This window comes from Homo sapiens, chromosome 8, assembly GCF_000001405.40.
Source record: "Homo sapiens chromosome 8, GRCh38.p14 Primary Assembly".
Classification (NCBI taxonomy): Eukaryota; Metazoa; Chordata; class Mammalia; order Primates; family Hominidae; genus Homo; species Homo sapiens.
In genome coordinates, this window is record NC_000008.11 from 18,716,246 (window position 1) to 18,737,569 (window position 21,324).

At 38.2% G+C, this 21,324-nt stretch overlaps 1 protein-coding gene and 1 long non-coding RNA gene across 22 annotated transcripts in view; one reads left to right on the forward strand and one right to left on the reverse strand.

The window, feature by feature from the left end:
* PSD3 (pleckstrin and Sec7 domain containing 3) overlaps window positions 1-21,324 on the reverse strand; it is a 557,503-nt gene that overhangs the window by 188,943 nt on the left and 347,236 nt on the right. The window contains exon 10 of one of the 21 annotated variants that reach the window (NM_001412866.1): window positions 18,990-19,070. The exons of the other annotated variants lie outside the window; for them this stretch is intronic. Within the exon in view, the coding sequence (NP_001399795.1) occupies window positions 18,990-19,070 (81 nt within the window). The remainder of the gene's footprint in view (window positions 1-18,989; window positions 19,071-21,324) is intronic. 21 annotated transcript variants of the gene reach the window in all.
* Window positions 4,660-18,160, forward strand: PSD3-AS1 (PSD3 antisense RNA 1). The gene is made up of 3 exons (NR_199011.1): window positions 4,660-4,948; window positions 13,895-14,096; window positions 16,598-18,160. It is a non-coding gene; the product is annotated as a PSD3 antisense RNA 1 (long non-coding RNA).

Here is a 21,324-nt window from a genome sequence, read left to right on the forward strand (position 1 = left end):
ATGGTCCACACTCACCTTACACACCTCATATGGTGTGTCTGACGGTGGCATCAAACCACAACCAGAACCTGAGCAGCAAGAGGAGAGGGAAATATAGTTTTTACCTTTCCGGGCTCTGCAGTGGAATAAATGGAAAAATGCCTCTATGAAAACACAACATTCTTGCAGGCCCCTGATTAATGAGGAGCCAATGAAAGGAAGTGTTCCAGGTGGGTGAAACAAAAGGCTGAGAGTGGGAATGAGCTTGGTGTATTCACACAGCAGCAAGATGGCCAGGGTGGCTGAAGCTTGGGCAGTGGGAGAGGAAATAATGAGAGATGAGGCAGGGAGGGTATTCAAGACCCAGTTCAAGTAAGTCTTGCAAGCTTTGATAAGGAGTCTAAATGTATTTTCCTAAGTGTAGAAGGATGTTATAGGATGAGGATTTTAAGCAGAGGAATAACATGTTCTGAATAACCTTTCTTAATAGACCATTGTAGTTCTATAAACTGTTCTCCATGCTTGATTTACATCAATAGCTTAAAAATGTACAATTTTAAAGTGACTTCATTTGATCTTCTATGGAGTAACTTTTTCAATTAAAAAAGGCCTAAAAGGTAATATTTCTCAATCTATAACTCCCTCACGGATACAGCACATGTGTGAGCATGATCATCTCTACCTTCTCTAAGACCAAGAGGAGTAGCCAAAGGTAGCAGGCCCAAGCCTGGACACCCACCTCTTGCCAGGCTCCAGGAAGATGTGGTTAATCAAGGGTAAGTTTTTTTCTAAAAAACAAAACTCAGACCTCTGGACTTAAAATCCTGAGATTCTTCCTAGTTAGAAACAAAAACGAAATTAGCTTCCAGCACTAAAATCAACCTATTTTAAACAGTCTTAAAGGTTTTTTTGTTCCCGTCTCCAATATGCAACCTAAAGCCAAAACATTTCAAACTCAAACAAGAGAATGAAATAAAAATAAAATTAACCAAATTACGTTTATTTTAATTTTTTTTTCAAAAAGTAACCATTTTATACTAACATCCATTTGCAACGGGCCACTTTCTTAAGGAGCAGAACCACTTAAAAGAAAAGGTCAATTTAAAAATTGTTCCAGAATGGGAGTGAGGAGTTCTTGCTATAAGTACATGCCTAGTTTAGCAACTATTATGCTTCTGCCAGGAGCATTTATTACTGTTATGAGGTCACCCATTATAAATGTGGTCTGAATGTTCTAATTTGCTTTTCTTTATACAATGTTAATGTTGCAAGCTTTTGAGCCAAAACATATTTTGCTCCAGTTAAAAAAAAACCAACCATGAAGCAAAATTGCAGAAAGGGAATCAATTTTAAACAAATTTGTTATATTATATATTTTATATGTTTGTATGTTAAATTTAATTTCTTTTACTTTCTCCAAAGCAGCCACAATACTGGCTTTGATGAAGGGTCACACTATAACCACTTGAGTCAACTCCTGACTTTTTGACTCAGTTAGAAAGATAAAAAAGCAAAACAAAATATTCCCTTTGCCTTCTCTCCATACAGCCTGCCTTGTAATTCTTTTCACACATAAATCTGAACTATTCATTTTCTTTGTATTTCATAAACTTTTGCCTGCTCTAGCTCCCTTACGAACATTAAATTCTCTGCGGTGAGACTTGGTAAATAGAACACAAAAAATGCTCCATAGGATTAGACTAAATGCTGAAGCTGGCTCAGTGGGACTGGTGATGGCCAGCTTCCAAGACGGCACCCAGCGGCCTGCCTCTGGGACTCATGTGCTTGTGTATTGCCTCCCACTTCTGTCCAAGGGTTTAACAGTCTTTCTTCAAGCACATTCGGCAGAAATGGAATTAGTTTCACCCTGCCCTAGTGAGCCCTTGAAGCTCTGACTGTATCTTACCTCCTGGAGCAGCTGCCACACCCCTACCCTGTCGCCATTTCCTAAAACAACACCCTCAACAAGGTTACCTTGTATGTAATAGTCTTCTACCCTCACAATCTTTTATTTTATTAATTCCTCTATTCATCTACATTCATCTAGAATCACAGCAATATTTACCTATTTTCCCATGTTATCCATTACATGCTCAAATTAACTTTACTTTTCCCCATAGGGAATTATAAAAGAAGATTTGTAGCTTTAGCATATTATTATGTGTGTGCTTTGGTTTGTTTGTTCTTGCAGTGAAGTAGGCAGAGACAGGGATTACAAAGAGGTTAGATCATTTAGCTTCATAGACAGATATACAGGACTAGAAGGGAATATTCAAACACAGTTATCTCAGCTTTGGGAATACTGATGCATTTTTAAAACTTTACAGATTTGCTAAAACAAATGTTTAATACATTTTATAATCAGAAGAATATTAACAAAAAGTATCACATGTATTCATGTATTAGCTGTGCTTTTGAACATAGCACTCTCCTAAGACCCGAAATGTCATATAATCTGAAGAAAACCGCTAAAAACCTTTAGGAGATGACATATGGTACAAGAAAAACAGGAAATGATGACAGAAGAGAGTAGGAGGTCAAGGAAATTTTATAATTTAGAGACATTAATAATGAGTTTGAAAGTCGTTTGGTGCAAAAAAACCCCACCTAAACTAAAATGGGAAAATCAGGTTTTACAAAAAGGAGGCAATGGGGAGAGCAGAGTTCAGCACAAAAGCCAAGACAACATTCAAAAAAAGACATCACAGACCTTCAGTCTCCACTTGACTGCTACAATTATCTGTGGAGCTGTCAACCAGCTGATGTAGAGATCTTGTGGGAATAAAGCATTAAAGAATGTAAGTGATAACAGAGTTATCCTAGATCAGGAGAATGAGGCTAAAAGGAAAAAGCTAAGACAGAGATCGAAAATTAGGTGGCTGTGACTTCGGATAGTCCCGCAGCCTGCTTCAGAAGCGCTCTGCTCTGTTTGGCCAATAAACGAGTGTCTAGAAGGCACCCTGGAAGATGGGTATGAGTGGACGCCACTGAGATTGTCAAAGTGAAAAGTTTCCTGGGTACAATACACAGAGTTCCTCTAAACAAGACTGCATTCTGACCTTGACTTTTTAACTGAAATTTTAAAAATCTGAAACTGAGTTTATGGCTTGTACAAACTACTAAATCCAGACTTTTGCTTTATTCCATGTTTTAGAGAACTCCAGAGAAAAAGAATTTTCTCAAGCCACATACACAACCCTGGCAGAAGCAAAAGACAGGTCAAGGACATTATCTTTATTATGTGCTACTAGTCATACTGCTTTAAAACAATATTCATATTTGTATAAAACTGTATCAAAACAGATACTATAGAATCTCACTTGAACAAGACTTTAAAAATCATTTACTCCAAATACTCATTTACTCGTTTAGCTGAGCCCCTTGTTCAACATCCTAATTGCACAACTATTCTTGAACATTTGCAGGTCAAGGAACCCACTATTTCCCGAGATAGTATGATCTATTCATGGACACCTCCAACTTTGAGAAAGCCTGACTTGTTTATTCTAGTTTATTTTATTTTTAATCTTCAAGTTACCTAAATCTATTCTTTAGAGCTGGTTTCATTTTAACCAGAAAGCTCTGTAGGAATATAGCATATATCTAGATAGCAAAACTCTGTATATTTTGCTTTGTCAAAGATTTTTTAGACAATAGTTCTTTTGTATATCAGGCTCTATAAACACGAAGGATTAAAGAATACCAACCAGGCCTCTTCTGTTCATAGCGATATATGCATCATATTTCTCATATCGAAACCCAAAAAGGTAAAGATACGTAAGTTTTCTTGCCCTTAATGCCCTAAAATGTAAAATAGAATTCCATGGGCAGTTATGACTGCCCCATTCTGACCCAACTCATTAGGGACTACTGCCATTTCCAATGTATGGGAAACTCATATATGTAGAGAAAATCTGCAGATATTCCCTTGCAAGCAGAGAAGTTGGAAAACAAAAACAAAAAAACAAAAAACCCTCAAAGCTCCTGCTTTGAATCCAAAAACATAACCATATTTTATTAAAATGGTCATTAAAGTACCAGGCACATTCCAATCATTCCTGGCAACATGAACCACCAGATGTTTACTGGATTACACATTTTACCACAATTGGATTCTCTGAGCCTCTTAAGGTGACTCTTTGGATTGACAACACATTTTAATAAAATATCTAGGAAAAGGGTATAATTTTATTAAGTCAAGGATGAGCAATCTAAGAAACCAGAGTTAAAAACAACAACAAAAGCAAACCTCTATCCATATCCTCAGACTACCTGGAATTATATGTGTTTACAGCAATTAACAATTGGCAAGAATTAGAAGATCTTGAGTGGGACATAAATACAAAATACATGCAAAATGACCAAAAAGTGAAATGAAAATTGATTCTTACAGAAGTACATACTGAATGTGCCAGTAAAATTAAAAGAAAAATCCAGTGTTTAGTACAAACCCATCCTCCCTGCCTGGCCACCCCCACAGTGCTCTGCAGATGGCATACAATACCAGTCACAGGAGCGCCGATGCATTTGCTCAGTGCGTTTTAAACACACACATAATTACAACAATCCAAGTCTTCAGGAAAATAAAATGAGGTTAAAGGGTCACATTCCAAAGCAGTGATTTATTATTTGTAGTGATGCCTTAAAGGTTTTATTTTTTCCTATTTGATATCACTCTCTCCCAAACCCCAGGATCTGAGGGCAAAAACAAGCCTCTATTTAAAAAAGACAAGATGAAGAAAAAAATTCATACTGAGGAGAAAGGTTCATCTGTCAATGTGAACAAGGAGTTTACATCACTAGCATTCTACTGGTTTTCTTGGGGAAAGAAGTCTCTGCAGAAAAGCCCACAATCCACATCCCACTCGGAGCAAAGGCCCTTCTCACCCGAAGAGCCCTAGTGATTCATGTCATCGCCATCTGTCCCACCGGACACCCCTGAAAACTCACTTCTGGCTAGCAAAACAAGGTGTGTGCAATTTCTGATACTGTTTTATCAATCACTGATTTCTCTTTAAGGATTATTTCATTAAAAAAAAAAAACCTGCCAATGTTCCAATACAGGCTCCAAAGGGGTGGGGAAGGCACCCAGGGGTGCTATGTAAGACTCATTTTGAGACATGCCTACAAATGTCTATCAGAATGAACTAACTGTATCCCAAGTAACTAGGACCAAGTGCTTGAGCCACCCAAGACCAGGAACTGCTGTATTTATCCTTTTGTTTTTCCTTGAAGTTCTATAGCATAGCTGGGACCATTAAAGCCTTAGAAGTTAAAAAGATTGACGTTTATTGAGACAATAATGCAATGTCTCATTTTATACATGAGGAAGGTGATATTGTATAAGGTTAGGTGACATGCTCAAGGCCATGAAGCTGTGTAACAACAAGACCAGAGATGGGCCTGGGTCTTTGGACTCCTGTTCCAGGAACCATACTGCATAAACCGATGATCATTCTGGAATATGTGTCCTATTAACACAGGGCAAGAGGGAGGCATTTGCTAGTGTAACTGTTTACTAAATCGTTCCCTAAAGACTGATCACACTTCTTTACCCAATAAAATCCAGCCAGTAAAGAATCATAGTAAGTATTTATTTAATGTGTTGATGTTCAAAATGTGTTGCATTAAAAGTGAGCTTTTTAAAAGGCCTACGAGACACCCAATGGCTGCACACATATTGTTCCCACTGAAGGGACAACCATTTTTAAGTAGGTCACACATAGTAATGCCACGTAATTTAAAGTGTGATGACTAACAACACATTTGAAAGCGGAAGCCAATTTATTGTTACAATTTCTAAACTGGTGCAGACATACAGACTATGATTGTTGAGCCTTGTTTTTAACAGTAAAAATTGAATTTCAACTCCCCTTTCTCCCAGCTGCGGTATTGAACTTAAAAGTCTACTAGATCGGTGGGTGGACGATCAAAGAACATTTAAAACATTTTAACTTTACTACCCACAAGGAGGTGGGAGTAATATGTCAGTGGGACTAAAATGTATGTGACAGAGTCTTAAGAGATTCCCTAACTAGACAAGAAGCTGGTTGTTCCCTTTTTTAAAGCAGCAGCACTCACCCTTACCTTTGCTCAGTCTACTTTTTAGAGCTGGCAAATAGAATAAAAGAGTTAAATCAGAATCTAAAAATATCCATGTTCTTATATGTTCTGTTTCCAGTGCAGTTGAAAACACTAATCACAGTTGATAATCTGAGATTTCTCTTATCTAGATGGCCTTGTAAAAGGTTTCCCTTCAAGTGAGTAATACGTAATCCACACTAAGAATAAACTTAATCTTTAAAAAATGGAAAACATTAATTCTTTCTCTCCATTTCCTCCCCCTTCATTTCCACCTGAAGGAAGTACAGATGTGAATAAATGTATCTAAATATAATCATTAGAGAAAGATGTCAATCTCATTTCCAAAAGACTGAAACCAAGTAGGAGGAGAAAGAAGAAGCAATAATGGATGAGGGAGAAAAGCATACTGACCTCTTCGGCCTGGGATGCCCTGAGGCTGCCTCTGACCAGCGCCCCCTTCCATCTGCCTAAATCTCATCTATCTATAGAGCCCATTCAAATTCTATCACTCCCAAGGAGCATTACTGGAGTACAATATGCCCTCCAAACTCTAATTTTCTGAACTATTTCAGCACCCGTTATGCGAACCCCACAATGAGCAACAATTATAGAATGCCGTATGTCCCTTGCTAGCTGTTTTACATGTTATCAGTTTTGTTTCCCTATTTAAACCATTAAGATGAAGAACATGCAACATAACTCATACTTTTAAAATGTTTTCCATAATACTGGCATGCAAATGGACAAACAGGTGCTTGAGAAAAACAAAGAAACAAACGAACAAACAAACCATGCTCCGTTGAATTGACACAGCAAAACTCATGCCTCTTAAGAGTGACCCACAGTATTTCCTCCGTGGGCAGTGCATGAACCCAGGAGCACATGAAGGACATGTGGCTGCAGATGACACGTGTGTTCTAGCTTGTTTGAAAAGCCCAGGTGTAACGATCAATATTACTGTTATTGTTACTCTCTGCATAGAAAGCTAAGTGCCATAAGTAATACTTAGGAATGAGCTGTCATGCAAACTCTGCAAATGCCTTTGTGCATATATGGATTTAATTTTTCTTTCATTTTTGCATTCATCATCCAGTGCACTTTCTCATTTTATAGAAAGTCATTAAAAAGATCTTCAGTAGCTATTTTAATATAATCTAAGTTAGTTCCTTAGGCGTTTCTCTACTGAAGATCAATTAAATGCTTAGCACAGAGCGACATCCTGAAAGAAATACAAAAAGACATATGACAGAGTTCCCTTTCTATTTTGAGGTGGGGGAAAAAAACCCTGTTCCTTCTGTATCTCCAGTACCATCTCTCCCGAGGCCTTCCATACACTAATGGTTCAAAGAATATGTCAGTGGCACTGCACTGTTTACAGATTAATGACACTGGTAAGTATAAACATAGCAAAGTACGGTAGCCTTTTTAAAATAAACTATCATATGAAAGCCAAGTACATAAAAATAAATACATTTTAAGAACACATTTTTAATTCTGACTTAAATTTCTAGAAGATTTGATTTTCCCTGACAGTGTCACTGAAAAATCATTTATTGATTTTAAATCTCTCATGTTTCCTGAGGCAGAAATTAATTTAATGTGATTGGCAACTTCCGTTTCCATACACAATGGAATACCTAAGGAAGCTTCCAGTAGTCACAGCAGTGAAACACTATCACAGCCATATGAACTCAAGTAAAGATCTGTAAACTTACATGTCTACAGTTATACAGAAAATTATTCTTTTGAGGGTTAATGATAATAGACATAAGAAGAATGAAAATACTAAAAAGAAGATGAAAATATGAGCCTAGGGTTTGGATTCTTTATAAGCAGGTAGGGGTGGAAGAATCATGTGGATTAGAGATCTCAGCATCAGGACGAGTAGAGGGGTAATGCCTGTCACCAAGGCTATTACAGCGGTCTATAAATGGAAGAAGAAAAATGAGGCAAAATCATATTGGGCAAAACAAATAGCAGTAATATTAAAGCCAGAAATCTCCTTAGAGTTCTTACTGTTGGGCCAGGTGTGGTGGCTCATGCTTGTAATCCCAGCATTTTGGTAGGTCAGGGCAGGAGCATCTCTTGTGGCCAGGAGTTCAAAGCCAGCCTGGGCAACATAGCGAGACCCCCATCTCAACAGAAAATAAAACATGAGCTGTGTGGTGGTGTGAACCTGTAATCCCAGCTACTTGAGAAGAAGCTGAGGCAGGAGGATCACTTGAGCCCAGAGTCTGAGGCTGCAGTGAGCTATGATCACTCCATTGTACTCCAGCCTGGGTGACAGAGTGAGACCCTGTCTCTAAAAAAAATAAATAAAAATAAAAATAAAAATAAAATAATTCTTTCTGCTGGTGGGGACCTGGCGGGGGAAGTGTAGAGAGTTAATGTGGGCACGTAATTCCTCATTTGAGAAAGATACATGGGCTTAACAAATGATTCAAGAACAAATAAGCTTATTAATAAATGGAAAAATAAATGAAGGCATGAATAAAAGCAGCAAGGAAATAACATATAACTAACTAACAGTCTGCGTCCCTGGATATAAGGAGAAATATGTGGTCAAAGAACAATCGTAACAACTAGATGGGAACAATGGGAGATGTGGAATGGGCAGGTGGGCTTAGGCAAAATTAGTGGCTCAGAAAAGAAAGAAAAAGAAAAGTCATGTAAAAGGATTTTAAAAGACAAAGTGAACAGAATTCTACCATGTTGGGAATCATTGAGCAAATCTAATTTCCTTGTTCTTTTCTACCAAATAAACTTCCATTAAAGTTTTCAGTGCAGCAAACAGGTTCTACGTATTGGCTCCCCATCATATTTCCTATGTAACCCATGCCTGGAGTAAGCCTCTACTCCAATCCACCCAAATTCTATCCATCCTTTAGGTCTAACGCGACGCAAGCCCCCCAAGAACTCTTTTATTTTTTAGGAAACTTAGAAAATAGTAATCTTTCTCTTTTCCTGCAGTCAGCTTTTGGAAGAGGGGCTACAAACAGACAAGGGACAGAAATATCAAAAGGAGAAAATATAAGTAGGATCAGATCTTCAAAGAACTGAATATTATAGATTTCCTTGGTTGGGGTCAGAAGAAAGATGAAAAACAAAGTATTCCAATCCCACTTTGTCCTAAAGGGGAGAAATCCATTATACTTCCTTCAAGCGGGCTAGCTTTTGATTTCTGGAACCACTGGGGACAATGGGCTTGGCATTCTTTTCTATCACCCTCCCACCTCATGTTCCACTTTCCCCTCTTTTGAGAGACGGGGACATCTAAAATGGAGTCAGTACATGTCCCAAAGTAAAGGACAGCCAGGGACAGGAAGAAGAAGACCCACTGAAAGGAACTTTTATTTTTCCTTTTTGTTTTATTATTATTTTTAATGAATTCCTCCAGCACTAAACCTGTAAGATGAACAGATATCATCTCCTAGGTTATTGGCCAAGAACACACTGCCTCAATACCAAATAAGATATAATGCAGAGACTCTAGGCAACTCCCGAAGAAACAAGTTATAAAAGAGAGGGGAAGCAAAATTAGTGGCACCAATGGCAATGACGCAAAGAAAAAGAAAAAGGAAAGAAATGCCAAGCTGTAGCCAGGCAATGCAATGTAAAACCATTGCTTCATGTCCCGCCCACTTCCACACCCACTGAGAGTGCTGTTCTTGGGGACTAGAAAACAGCTTGAGGTAACAACAGAAGAATCAATGCCAAGCCATACTTATCTCTCAGCCAAGACACTAACCTCACAGTTCATGGACGTTATTGAAAGACAGAAGACAAACACAAGAGGAGAAGATGAATGTGGTTCTCTCCTGCCTTGTCCACCACTTCCCTAAACCCAGAAAGGCACTCCTGTGCCAAATCTGTTTAAAAATCATATGAATCACTGGCCTCTGTTTCTTTTATGCATTTATTGTAGACCAGCCTACACTGACATCGATGAGCTAGTGAGATATTGCCAAGTAATAAGCAGCCAGAGACATTAAGTTACTGAACTTTAATGAAATAACAGCTTAGAATTTAAAGACAAAGAAATGTCTTTTATCGTCTTCCACATACAGAAAAGGAACATAGCTGCTTAAAAGATCCACTGTAATTCCCCAATATTCTCTTGTATCCTTATTTTAATATCAACTGCTGTATAGCTGATTATAATCATTACGTTATTATATCAAACCCTAAATATAGAGGTTTAAATAAACTACAGGATTATCTGCTACCTAGAACTAGGCCCAAATCTCCATCCATTCCCATGACTTTAATTCATGCTCATGGCGAAAGATTTCCAAACAATTCTATCTTCTCATCTCAGAGTCTATTAGAACATGAACTCGATGTCTGTTCTGTTGCATCTTTATAACCCCTAGAACATGCTTAATAGGTATCAACTGAATGAACCTAGGTCTAATGAAATCTCAGATTCAGCTTATGCAAAATACCTTCATTCCAACTAAACCAAAACTACTATCTTAATGTTCCAACCACGCTTCGGGGCTCTAACTTTAGATAGTCTTAACTCATCCCTGTCCTTTATTTCCACTATCCAGACAGTCCACCATCTAGGAAATTTTCTTTAGAAAATAAATTGCTAGGCTGGGTGCGGTGGCTCATGCCTGTAATCCCAGCACTTGCACTTTGGGAGGCAGAGGCAGGAGGATCACCTGAAGTCAGGAGTTCTAGACCAGCCTGGTCAACATGACAAAACCCCATCTCTACTAAAAATATAAAAATCGTCCAGGCAGGCCAGGCGCAGTGGCTCACGCCTGTAATCCCAGAACTTTGGGAGGCCGAAGTGGGTGAACCATGAGGACAGGTATTCAAGACCAGCTTGGCCAACATGGTGAAGCCCCATCTCTACTAAAAATACAAAAAACTACCTGGGCATGGTGGTGGGCACCTGTAATCCCAGCTACTCTAGAAGCTGAGGCAGGAGAATCGATTGAACCTGGGAGGCGGAGGTTGCAGTGAGCCGAGATCGCACTACTGCACTCCAGCCCAGGAAACCGCAAGACTGTGTCTCAAAAAAAAAAAAAAAAAAAAAAAAATGAGCCAGGCATGGTGGTGGACACCTGTAATCGCAGCTACTTGGGAAGCTGAGGCAGGGAGAACTCCTTGAGCCTGGGAGGTGGAGGCTGCAGTAAGCCACGATTGTGCCACTGCACTGCAGCCTGGGTAACAGAGCAAGATTCCATCTCAATCGATCAATCAATCAATAGCTAAATTAAAAAAAAATCCAAACACACACACACACACACACACACACACACACGCACGCACACACACACCCCTCTTATTCATCTTTACCTCTCTGCCACAACCCTCCCCTACTACACTATTCCAGGCTGGCTATCATTACCCATATTTTGGCAGTCCTGTCTAAGCTGGACTTTTTACTTTCAGTGTCTGCATACCAGTTACAGACGAAAAGTCTCTTTTGCTCAGAAGTTATTTATACTTCCCTATTACCCACCTACTCTCCCAAGTAAAATTATGCTCTTAAGGAAAACCATTCAAAGTCCAAGTTTGTAACATATCCCACCCATCGAGTTGGCCTCCTCATTGCCCTACTAGTCTACTAAGCTACTTTCTAGACTTATATTTAACCCATTTTTATCCATTTAGTCTATTAGAACACATATTCCATGAGGGCAGGGATTTTTCACTGTTATATCTTCACCACCTAGATCAATGCCTGAAGACTGGACCCTTAAATATTTGCTGAATGAATGAATGATTTTATGAAAAACAGAAAAAAAAAAGCGGAGAAAGGGAAGTAGAAGAGAGAGTGTTAAACTTCACAAAGGAGTTTATCATTATAGGTTCAGGTCAAGTCCCACTTTCACTCATCACTTCAGCCTTCACTGATTTCTCTCTTCTCTGATTTTCCATGGAATTTCTGCACCGTACAATTGAGCACTGAAATACTCATTGCAAGAATTCAATGAAAAGTTGAGAACCTCCTATCCACCAAACTCTGCACAGCACAGACATGGTTTATGCCTTCTCCAAACTTATAGTCTCATAGAAACATTCAACAAAGTCAATTAAAAACCAGCTACCACAGGTGCACATAGAAAGAACACTTAGACTTTGATGACAGGGAAGGCTTCTCAGAGGAAGGGACAGCTAACGGAAGACTTGAAGGGTGAGTATGAGTTACCCAGACAAAAAGGAGGGAGGAGTGTTTCAGGCAGAGGAAACAGCATGGATGGAGACTTAGAGGCAAGACAGAGTGTTTAGGAAAAGTGTTTGGGAATTGAAGGAAGTTCAGTGGTTCTGGAGTACATGGGCAGCAAAGAGCCAAAGCTGCTGGGGTGGGCAAGGACCAGACTTTCAAGGGCCAAGCAGTCACCTTGAGTTACGCTGCGTGAGCTAAAAATGTGAGTTATGTGAAGTCATGCATAAGTTAATTAGCTCGATTTAGCCATTCCAAAATGTATACAGATTTCAAAACATGTTGTACATGACAAATATAACCTTTATATGTCAATTTTGAAAAATATAAAACTTTTGAAAAAAAAGCTATGAAAATGAATATGAAAGGGAAGCTGGGAAGGGGAAGGGGACAGAGAGGGTGGACGCCTCACATGTCAGTTCTGCTTCTCAGTTATTCTGGAAGATTTCTTTTAAGAAAAGCAGAGATCTGGTTTCAGGCTTTCTCTGTATCTCAAAATGTCTGTTCAAAAAATGTGGAATTCACAAGAAAACCTGTTGATTTGAAAACTTTGATTCTTCCTGCACCTTTCCCACCCAAAGAAAAAGAACAGCTGTAAAATTTAACAACTAACAGAGACTAATAAGCAATTTTTAACGCTAGAGACTTCATCAACTATAAGAACCTTATGTCCCTTTCAATTTTCTTCCCCTTTGAGACTCTGAACTAGTCAGTAGAGATTTCTGAACCACACGTCCCCCACAATCCACAAACCTATAAATTTTCATAATTATGCATTCTGTAAAAGCTTAAGCAATGAGCTAAGGAAACAGCTCTAAGTGGTTCTGATTTCAATTTCTCTGTTGCATCAGATTAACTGACTCCTTTAACCCACAGCAGTGTCTAACATTAGTCCATACTCAATACCAAGTTCAAGTCAAATGTGGGACCTTGTGTAAGGTTCTTACCCAAAATTATTTCAAGATGAAGAGGGCTGTATCTAGACTTATGCAGTTCTCCTAAGAACATGCCACCACATTAAATAAAAGTAGCATGCAACAACCATAAAACGAATAAACAAAAGTCAAAGCTCCTAAGACAAAAAAGGGTACAGTGCAGGTTCCTATGTAAGGTATAGATTTTAACTGGATAATTTTTAGTAATTGTATATCAAGAAAAGATACCCAACATCTGTCTCATGTATTACCTTCAAAAACTCTTCTTTCTCTAAATAGCTTGCACTCTCTCTGGGCCATGAATGAAATGAGGCCACTGTGAGAAATTACAAATGCCATTCTGGAGGAAAATCCTTCACATCCCTATCTTGAGCCTACTACACAGGAGAAGGAAATAAATCCTCATGCTAAACCTTCCACTGAGGAAATTACTAATTCAATTTCTCTTACCAACGTTGCTACAATGCACTAAACATTTCTACCCAGTAAAAACTCTTATTTATCACATTCATTTATTTCCATTTTAATTAGAATAGCAAAGCCTACATTCCATAAAGACTGGAAAAGGAAGAAAGCATCATAAAGCAAAAAAAGCTTCCTCATTTTTGAAACAGGAATATCATACGGGATACTAGCTACTGACTTTCAAAAATAAGAAATATGCTCAAGTATTGCCTCTTTCTAATGACAAGTAATATGCTGTGTTTTTCCCAAGGCACCACTTCTTTTGAGATATTTTGACTATGAAATGTTTCCGTGGGACAGCTCTAAAAAATCTGCATTTATTCCACAATCACACAACAATAAAATGAGGACCTGACCTTCTAGGTATGAAGGTACCACAGCACAATCATCAACACTGCTACCAAATCTCATCTGCTAATATGTAAAATGTCTCCTTCTCCAGCTGACAAGCGGTAAGTATTCTCCAATATAAACAAACATATACACCCCACGTTATAACTAAAACATTATCTAGCTTTGACTTGTCATTGTGGAGGAAATACAAAAACCCTTTATATATAAATATTAATGAGATGACCATGCCTTATAGTTGAACTAGCAATCTGATCTTTAACGAAGTTGACCCTTAGTACCTCTGAGGAAAGATAAAGAAAAGATACACTATATCCATTGTTACATTCACTGGCCTTTCATCCATCCACTCAAAAAGTATTTATTGATCACTTTCTATGTGCCAGATACTGTACGCTATACACTGTTTACACATATTTTTGGCTTCTATCCCTTAAAATACCAGTAGCAGCTAATTGCCTCAGCTGTAACAACCAAATAGATCTCCAAACATTGCCAGATGTCCTTTGGGAAGCCTTGTCTTAGAGTTTAAGATTCTGTGGGCACTGTTTTTCAGAAATTTAAGATATAACTGAAAGACAAGATGTGTGTACTTAAAATATATGAAAACACTGAACAAATAAATAGCCGATAATAACATTTTAGAGTTGGCAAGATGGCTACCAAAAAAAAAATCACATGTACCTAGCTAAGGTCGAAAGTAATGTTTATTTTTAAATAAAACTTTAAAAAGATAATTTCTTTCTAAAAGTCATTCCAATCTGTCCTCTCTAGAAAATTCACCCCTTTACCTCCCCCACAAAATAAACACTCTTCACCAGCCTGGCCAACATGGTAAAACCCTGTCTCTAATAAAAATACAAAAATTAGCTGGACGTGGGGGCGGGCAGCTGAAATCCCAGCTACTCGGGAGCCTGAGGCAGGAGAATCGCTTGAACCCGGGAAGCGGAGGTTGCAGTGAGCAGAGATTGCACCACTGCACTCTTGCCTGGGTGACAAGAGTGAAACTCTGTCTCAAAAACAAAAAACAAAAAACCTTCTTCATCACATAGCAAAACATTTATTCTGACTATGGACTAATGCACTCATGGAGTCAGTGTTAAAAAATAAAGACCAGAAGGATGGAAACAGCAAACAAATCATGAAAGTGACATTGGAAGATTCTGCCAATTAAGAAAGGCAACTTAGATTCTCTATACCCTTCCTCTTTTATCTATTTGATACTTAAAATTTACTGCCCTGTATCAAACATGATCTCAGTAATTCTTTTTTAATCAACTGTTTAGGACAGCTTGAGGAAAGGAATTGCTAGGCAGAAAGACAACAGGAGAAACAATAAATCTTTTAAGTACAAAAAACTGACAACGAAATGAGAAAAATACTACCTTGTGTGCTCAAAGGAAATTGCTTATAGAAACTGAAACCAGGACTCAGAACAGTCATGTGTTCTACTCAGGAAATTAAAAGTTGTACTTTTAAAAAGGGTTTCAGATCCTTCCAGAAAATCTAAAATAAAACTAGGTAACTACCTTCCAGGTTTTCCTGGGAACACTTGCCATTTGAACAGAAAATACACATTGCAAACTCTCCTTGGAGTGTCTGGGTCTTTGCTTTTAAATAAAAATGTTTACCCTAGATCCTTCTGCTTTGTTTTCTGCCCATCAGTGAGTAGGATGCACAGCTATTTGAGGAGTCTGAGAGGTCACTATGGTTTAATGGGTAGCAGGAAATATTCTTTAGGGAAAATAAGTCATCTTTTTTCCACTGTTTTTCTTTTGAGAGAGACAAGTAATTTTCTGTCTCTCATATACAACTAGAAGAAAATGGTATCACTGTGCCCCTCAGAGAAATGTCCCCCTAGGAGCATTTCAGGAGAGTCACCTGCTTCAAGTGAGGACAAATATAAAGCTGGTAAAAAAACAACCCTCCTCCCCCCCGAAAAAAAAACCCACTAACTACAAAGCAAGAAATAGCGACTGAAGAATGCCTAACGAACTCGTACTAAAACAAAATACTGATTGTAGATGGACATACGGAGTCATAGAACTATCTGGACACACCGTAAACAGATATGAGAAAAGAAGGAAGATTAGGAAGCTACAAATCCTGTCTCAGTAATCTATTGCTCTGTAACAAGCTACCCCAAAAGCGAGGGGCTTTAAATCATCATCAGTTCATTTGCTAGAGATTCTGCACAAGTGCAGTCTGGGGCAGAACTCAGTGAGAACAGGATGTCTCAACCCCATGTGCTAATGGCCGAGCTGACCTGGGGCTGGAGGATCCAAGATGCCCCAGTCCAATGTATGAGCATGGTGCCAGCTGCAAGCTGGAGCACCTTGATGCTCCTACACATGGCTTCTCCCTCCAGCAGGATATCTTGAGCTTCCTTCCTTACATGGTGGCTCCGAAACTGCCAGGCCTCTTAAGGCCTGCCGTTACAACAGCACCACTTCTGCCACATTCTGTCACACAAACCAGCCCAGGCTTCGGCGGGAGGGGAAATAGACTCTACACTCCTGATGAATGGAACAACATGTTCGTGCAGGGATGGGAGAACTCCAAGTGATCATTTCTTCCTTTTTTTTTTATTTTTTTTTCACAGATATTCTACCACAAGCCCCACTATTGTGAACCACGATAATATAAAATGAAATTAGGAAAAAGATAAGATGACCGGGACGAAGTACCTTGCCTACACACGCCCCCTCCCTATCACCACCATCTTCTGCCCTTGACTCTTCAACCAACGAAGGAGAGAAAAGAAAGAAGAGAATGAAACGTGCAATGCAGACTATAGCATCACGGACAGCAGCGTTGGTTACAACATCTTATTAGGGTCCTTTAAAAATACAGAAAGAGAACAAATGAAGGAGAACCTAGAACCACCACTTACTGCTTTTTCTTATGACTTTTGGCTCAATGTATGTTTTACACAAAAAGAAATGCTACAAGGATTTGGTACCAGGTAAACAATATATAAATTGTTAGGGAAAAAAGGAAAATCTCTTTTTTTAAAAAATGAGAGGTTCTACTTTTTAGGGTCATAATTGTATAAGTTCAATGTTTCTAGCATATCTTTCTAGAAGAAAGACTAGAACAGCCACAGGTGAAAAAGGAAACTGATAAATGGAGGGGGTAATATAGTAGATCCTGTGACGACATCCTTTATCCTGCACTAAAACTGCAATGCTGCAGAATGCCATCCCCCTCTTGAAATCCTGACTCTTTGAGAATAGCAAATGGTGGTATTACTCATGCATGACCTTTGCCAAAAAGTGGCTGGCAGATGGGTTTGCCCAGCAAAGTGGAGATGTGATGAGATTATTCTGAGTCCCTATGCAAGTAGCCCAGTTGAGCCTGGACAAGAATTTCACTGGATCAGAGGCTTTTTACTTTCACAGAACGTAGACAAATGTGCCATGTCACAATGGCTTCCACTCACGTCCTGGTTTATCATCATTCCTCCCTCCACTCCTCAACAGAAACCAAAAAAAAGGCAATTATCTTTCTTCCAGCTACAGATGTTAATCCTCAACTAACATCCCATACCGGCAGTGTCTGCAATGTAGTAGAAAGGCTTTGAAGCCTGCAAATCATTTAGGACCAAAAGGAGGAAATCCAAGTCCAATTATGGGAAAATGAAAAAAAGAAAAAGAGCAGAAAAGCCCTTCAAATCAGACCACACAGAAGGCCAAAACCACAGATGAAAGGAACTGAGAAGCTATGGGTTTTTTTTGCTGCCTTTTAAATACAGACCCCTAGGCAAAGGCAGCACTTATTTAACATATCCACAGGTATTAAAGTCTATAACATATAAGGTGCTAGAAAAATAATTTCAGTGATTGTTACTTATGGGTCTAGATAATTCTTAATATTGACAAACATTGGTATCCATGTAAAAGACAAAAGTAGAAAATATCACTAAACTTGGAGGTAGAAACCAGACTTGAATTCTGCCTCTATGTATAGCCTTTGGAAAATTACTTTTTGTTTCAAAGCCCAAGTTTCTTCATCTATAAAAATATGGATTAAAAATACCTTCATTCAAAGAGTTGTACTATAACTTTTCAATGAAATTCATGTATATGTCTGAAAAACAGTATCTAATAAATATAAACTGTGTATGATTCTGATCTTTAATACAGATTAAGACTCCCAAGTAAAAGTCCTTTTTCTTTTTTTAAATCATGGAAAAGACACAAATTTTGTTGTCACAAGATGATGGTTCAATGGTTCTAGGTCAGATTTTGTTCCTCCTGGCAAGATGATCTTGGGTAAGTCTTTTCTCTTTCCAAGTCCTAGGTTCTCCATTTCATTTATTTGCTTGTAAACCTGAATTCATTTGGAGGCACTAACAGTAAACACGGCAAATAAAGTCCCCGCCCTTATGGAACTTAGCAAGTCATGAGGAGACCTAAAAGCAATGAATGTACAGTGTTGGCTACTGTTTTCTAAACGATGAGGTGACTGGGTTAGAATATCTTCAAGACCCTCTCCAGCTTTAAGCCTGTGAACCCGTAACTGTAAATATAAAAGTCAACAAAAAGAAGGAAGACCACAGTTTCTCATTCTGATGTTTTGTAAGGTGTTAAATCATTTTTTCTCAAGCCAAAATCAAAAGCTTCCAGAGAACAGCAATACCATTACAAAGGCTTTCTGAATTAAAAACGAACAGTCCTCATCTCAGTTGAAAACTTAAAATTCTACTGTTAAAGGGAAAATCAAGTCCTCACATCAAAGACTGTGCCCTTTATCCCCTTGAAAGCAATAATTCAGAGTAATATTGGCACATACGCCGAGGACCACTCATGCCTTAGCATACAGAATCAGAAACTGTTTACTAAAACTAGGGTCTGTTGATTAATCCTACATTCAGTAAGAGTTTGAGAAGGGAATAATCACCAAAAATCCCTAAGTTCTCTCCTCTGATCATCAGTGGGGCTGTAGTTCAACTCCAGGAAAACACTTTATAGAGATAAGAGGAGACTACTTACCGCCAGGGCAGAAGAGCATGTTGAGATACGGAAATAATGGTGCCCAAAAACAAGAGATGAAAAAAATTGGGAAAGCTTCACCTAAGAAGAGATAACTATGTTGAATCATAGAAGTAATCTTCAATTATCAGAATGGTCATTGAGATACTCACAATCAGAGTAATACACTGAATGGCGAATGGACGATAAACGTACCCAAGTGGACACACTACTCCCTAGGATAAGATTCCCAGGGGATAGGAATGCTTTCTTTGCTGCCTTTACACTTTATATTCTTTATTCGCCCTACAAACATATTTAAGGCTGTAGTAGTTAAATGGAGGGTAGGTTCTACAAGCACAGTTTTTCTCTGACAGATTTCTATCTCCTGGTAGCATGGTTTTTACTGGCAACCTCAAGTGGGTAAGCCTTACATAAAAAGCTTCAGTTTTCAGAATGAATCAGACAAGGACTAAGAAATAATGATCATAAGCAGTTAGAATCAGTACAAATTTATGAGGCTGATGAAACTATGGGAAAACAAAGGATTATTGGATACCAACAACAGTTCTTCAAATAATTTTTCAGTGACACAGCACCAGAAATTTTCTGTTTAAGTCAACTAAGAAACACGCACCTGAATAGTAAAATTAAGTTTTAGGAAACTTATTTGGCAAATTGAACAAAGATTGTCAAGCAGAATTCATTAAAAATACAAAGAATAAATAAAAACAATTGATTTTTATGGATCTAACTATAAATCTAACTAGATATATCTAACTACAAAAAACAATCTAACTATAAATTGTTTTTATGGAAAGTAGCTTCTGACAAATTTCAACTTTCTTAAAACAACGTAGAATTCCAACAAACTTGAGCACATCTCCTATGCTACAGTTTACCTATTTAAGTATAAGCATAAACCTTATATATCTCACGTAATTTCTATAACCTCCAACTTCCATACTTACAAACTCTGGAATAAGATGCCCTATATTATCCAATCAACACTCTAGCTCTGCCACTTACTGTGAAATTGAAGGCAAGACACTTAACTACTCTGCTCCTTAGTCTGTTTCTTCTTTATATCTAAAAAGTAAAATAATGGTACCTACCCTCAAGGGTTACTGAAAGAATCAAATGTGTTAATATATTTAAACACTAGAATAATGCCTGGCACACCATGAAAATTTTTAAATGCTGGGAATTTTATCATCAACTGTGTTTATTAGTATACATATTTATAGACGAGTATGTGTTAGTAAACACCATTTACTAAACTGTTTACTAAAACTAGAGTCTATTTATTAATCCTACATTCAGTAAGAGTTTGAGAAGGGAATAATCACCCAAAATCCCCAAGTTCCCTCCTTTGATCATCAATGGGGCTGTAGTTCAACTCCAGGGAAATATTTTATAGAGATAAGGGCAGATTACCCCAGAGCAGAATAGCATGTTGAGATACGGAAATAATGGTGCACAAAAACAAGAGATGAAAAAAATTGGAAAGGTTTCACCTAAGAAGAGGTAACTTTGCTGAATCATAGAAGTAATCTTCAAATATCAGAATCGTCATCAATTAAATCAGTAATTAGACTTATTATTTGTTTTTCCAAAGGTAAATTTGGCTGATGATCAGAAAAATCTTTTAAATCAAAGCTTTCTGATGGCAATGAGCATTCTTTCCAAATGAATGCTAACATTAAAAACAAAATGCTGCTTTTCAAATATAGAGAGATGATTATGCTGAGTGTGAGCCTGGACTAGATGACATAAAAAAATCTCAGAATTGTAGAATATTAAAATGTGAAAAGGACTTCAAAGTCATCTGCTTTTGTGGTTTAGTTGTCCATTGGAATCACCTGGGGAGCATCTGAAAAAATACTGTTCTCTTTCCAGATCAATTAAAATCAGAACTTTCTGGGGATAGAGGCTGTGCACTATTTTGCTGGTTTGTTTTCTTTAGTCTTTGTAATTGTCCCAGGTAGTTCTAACATATAGCCACAGCTGAGAAACACTGCATTAGTTCACAAATGAGAAAAATAGGGCCCACAGTTAGAAAATAATGGAACTTTAATTTGAACCCAGGTACTATGCTGTGCTATTTGTTTATTTGTGTGTGTGTGTGCGTGTGACGGGGTCTTACTCTGTAGCCCAGGATGGAATGCAGTGCATGCTCATGGCTCATGCAGCCTTGGCTTCCTGGGCTCAAGCGATCCTCCCACCTCAGCCTCCCGAGAGGTGGGACTTACTTTTTTAAATATATTTTTGTAGAGATGGAGTGTTGCCATGTTGTCCAGGCTGGTTTCAAACTCTTGACCTCAAGCAATCTGCTCGCTTGGCCTCCCAGAGTGCT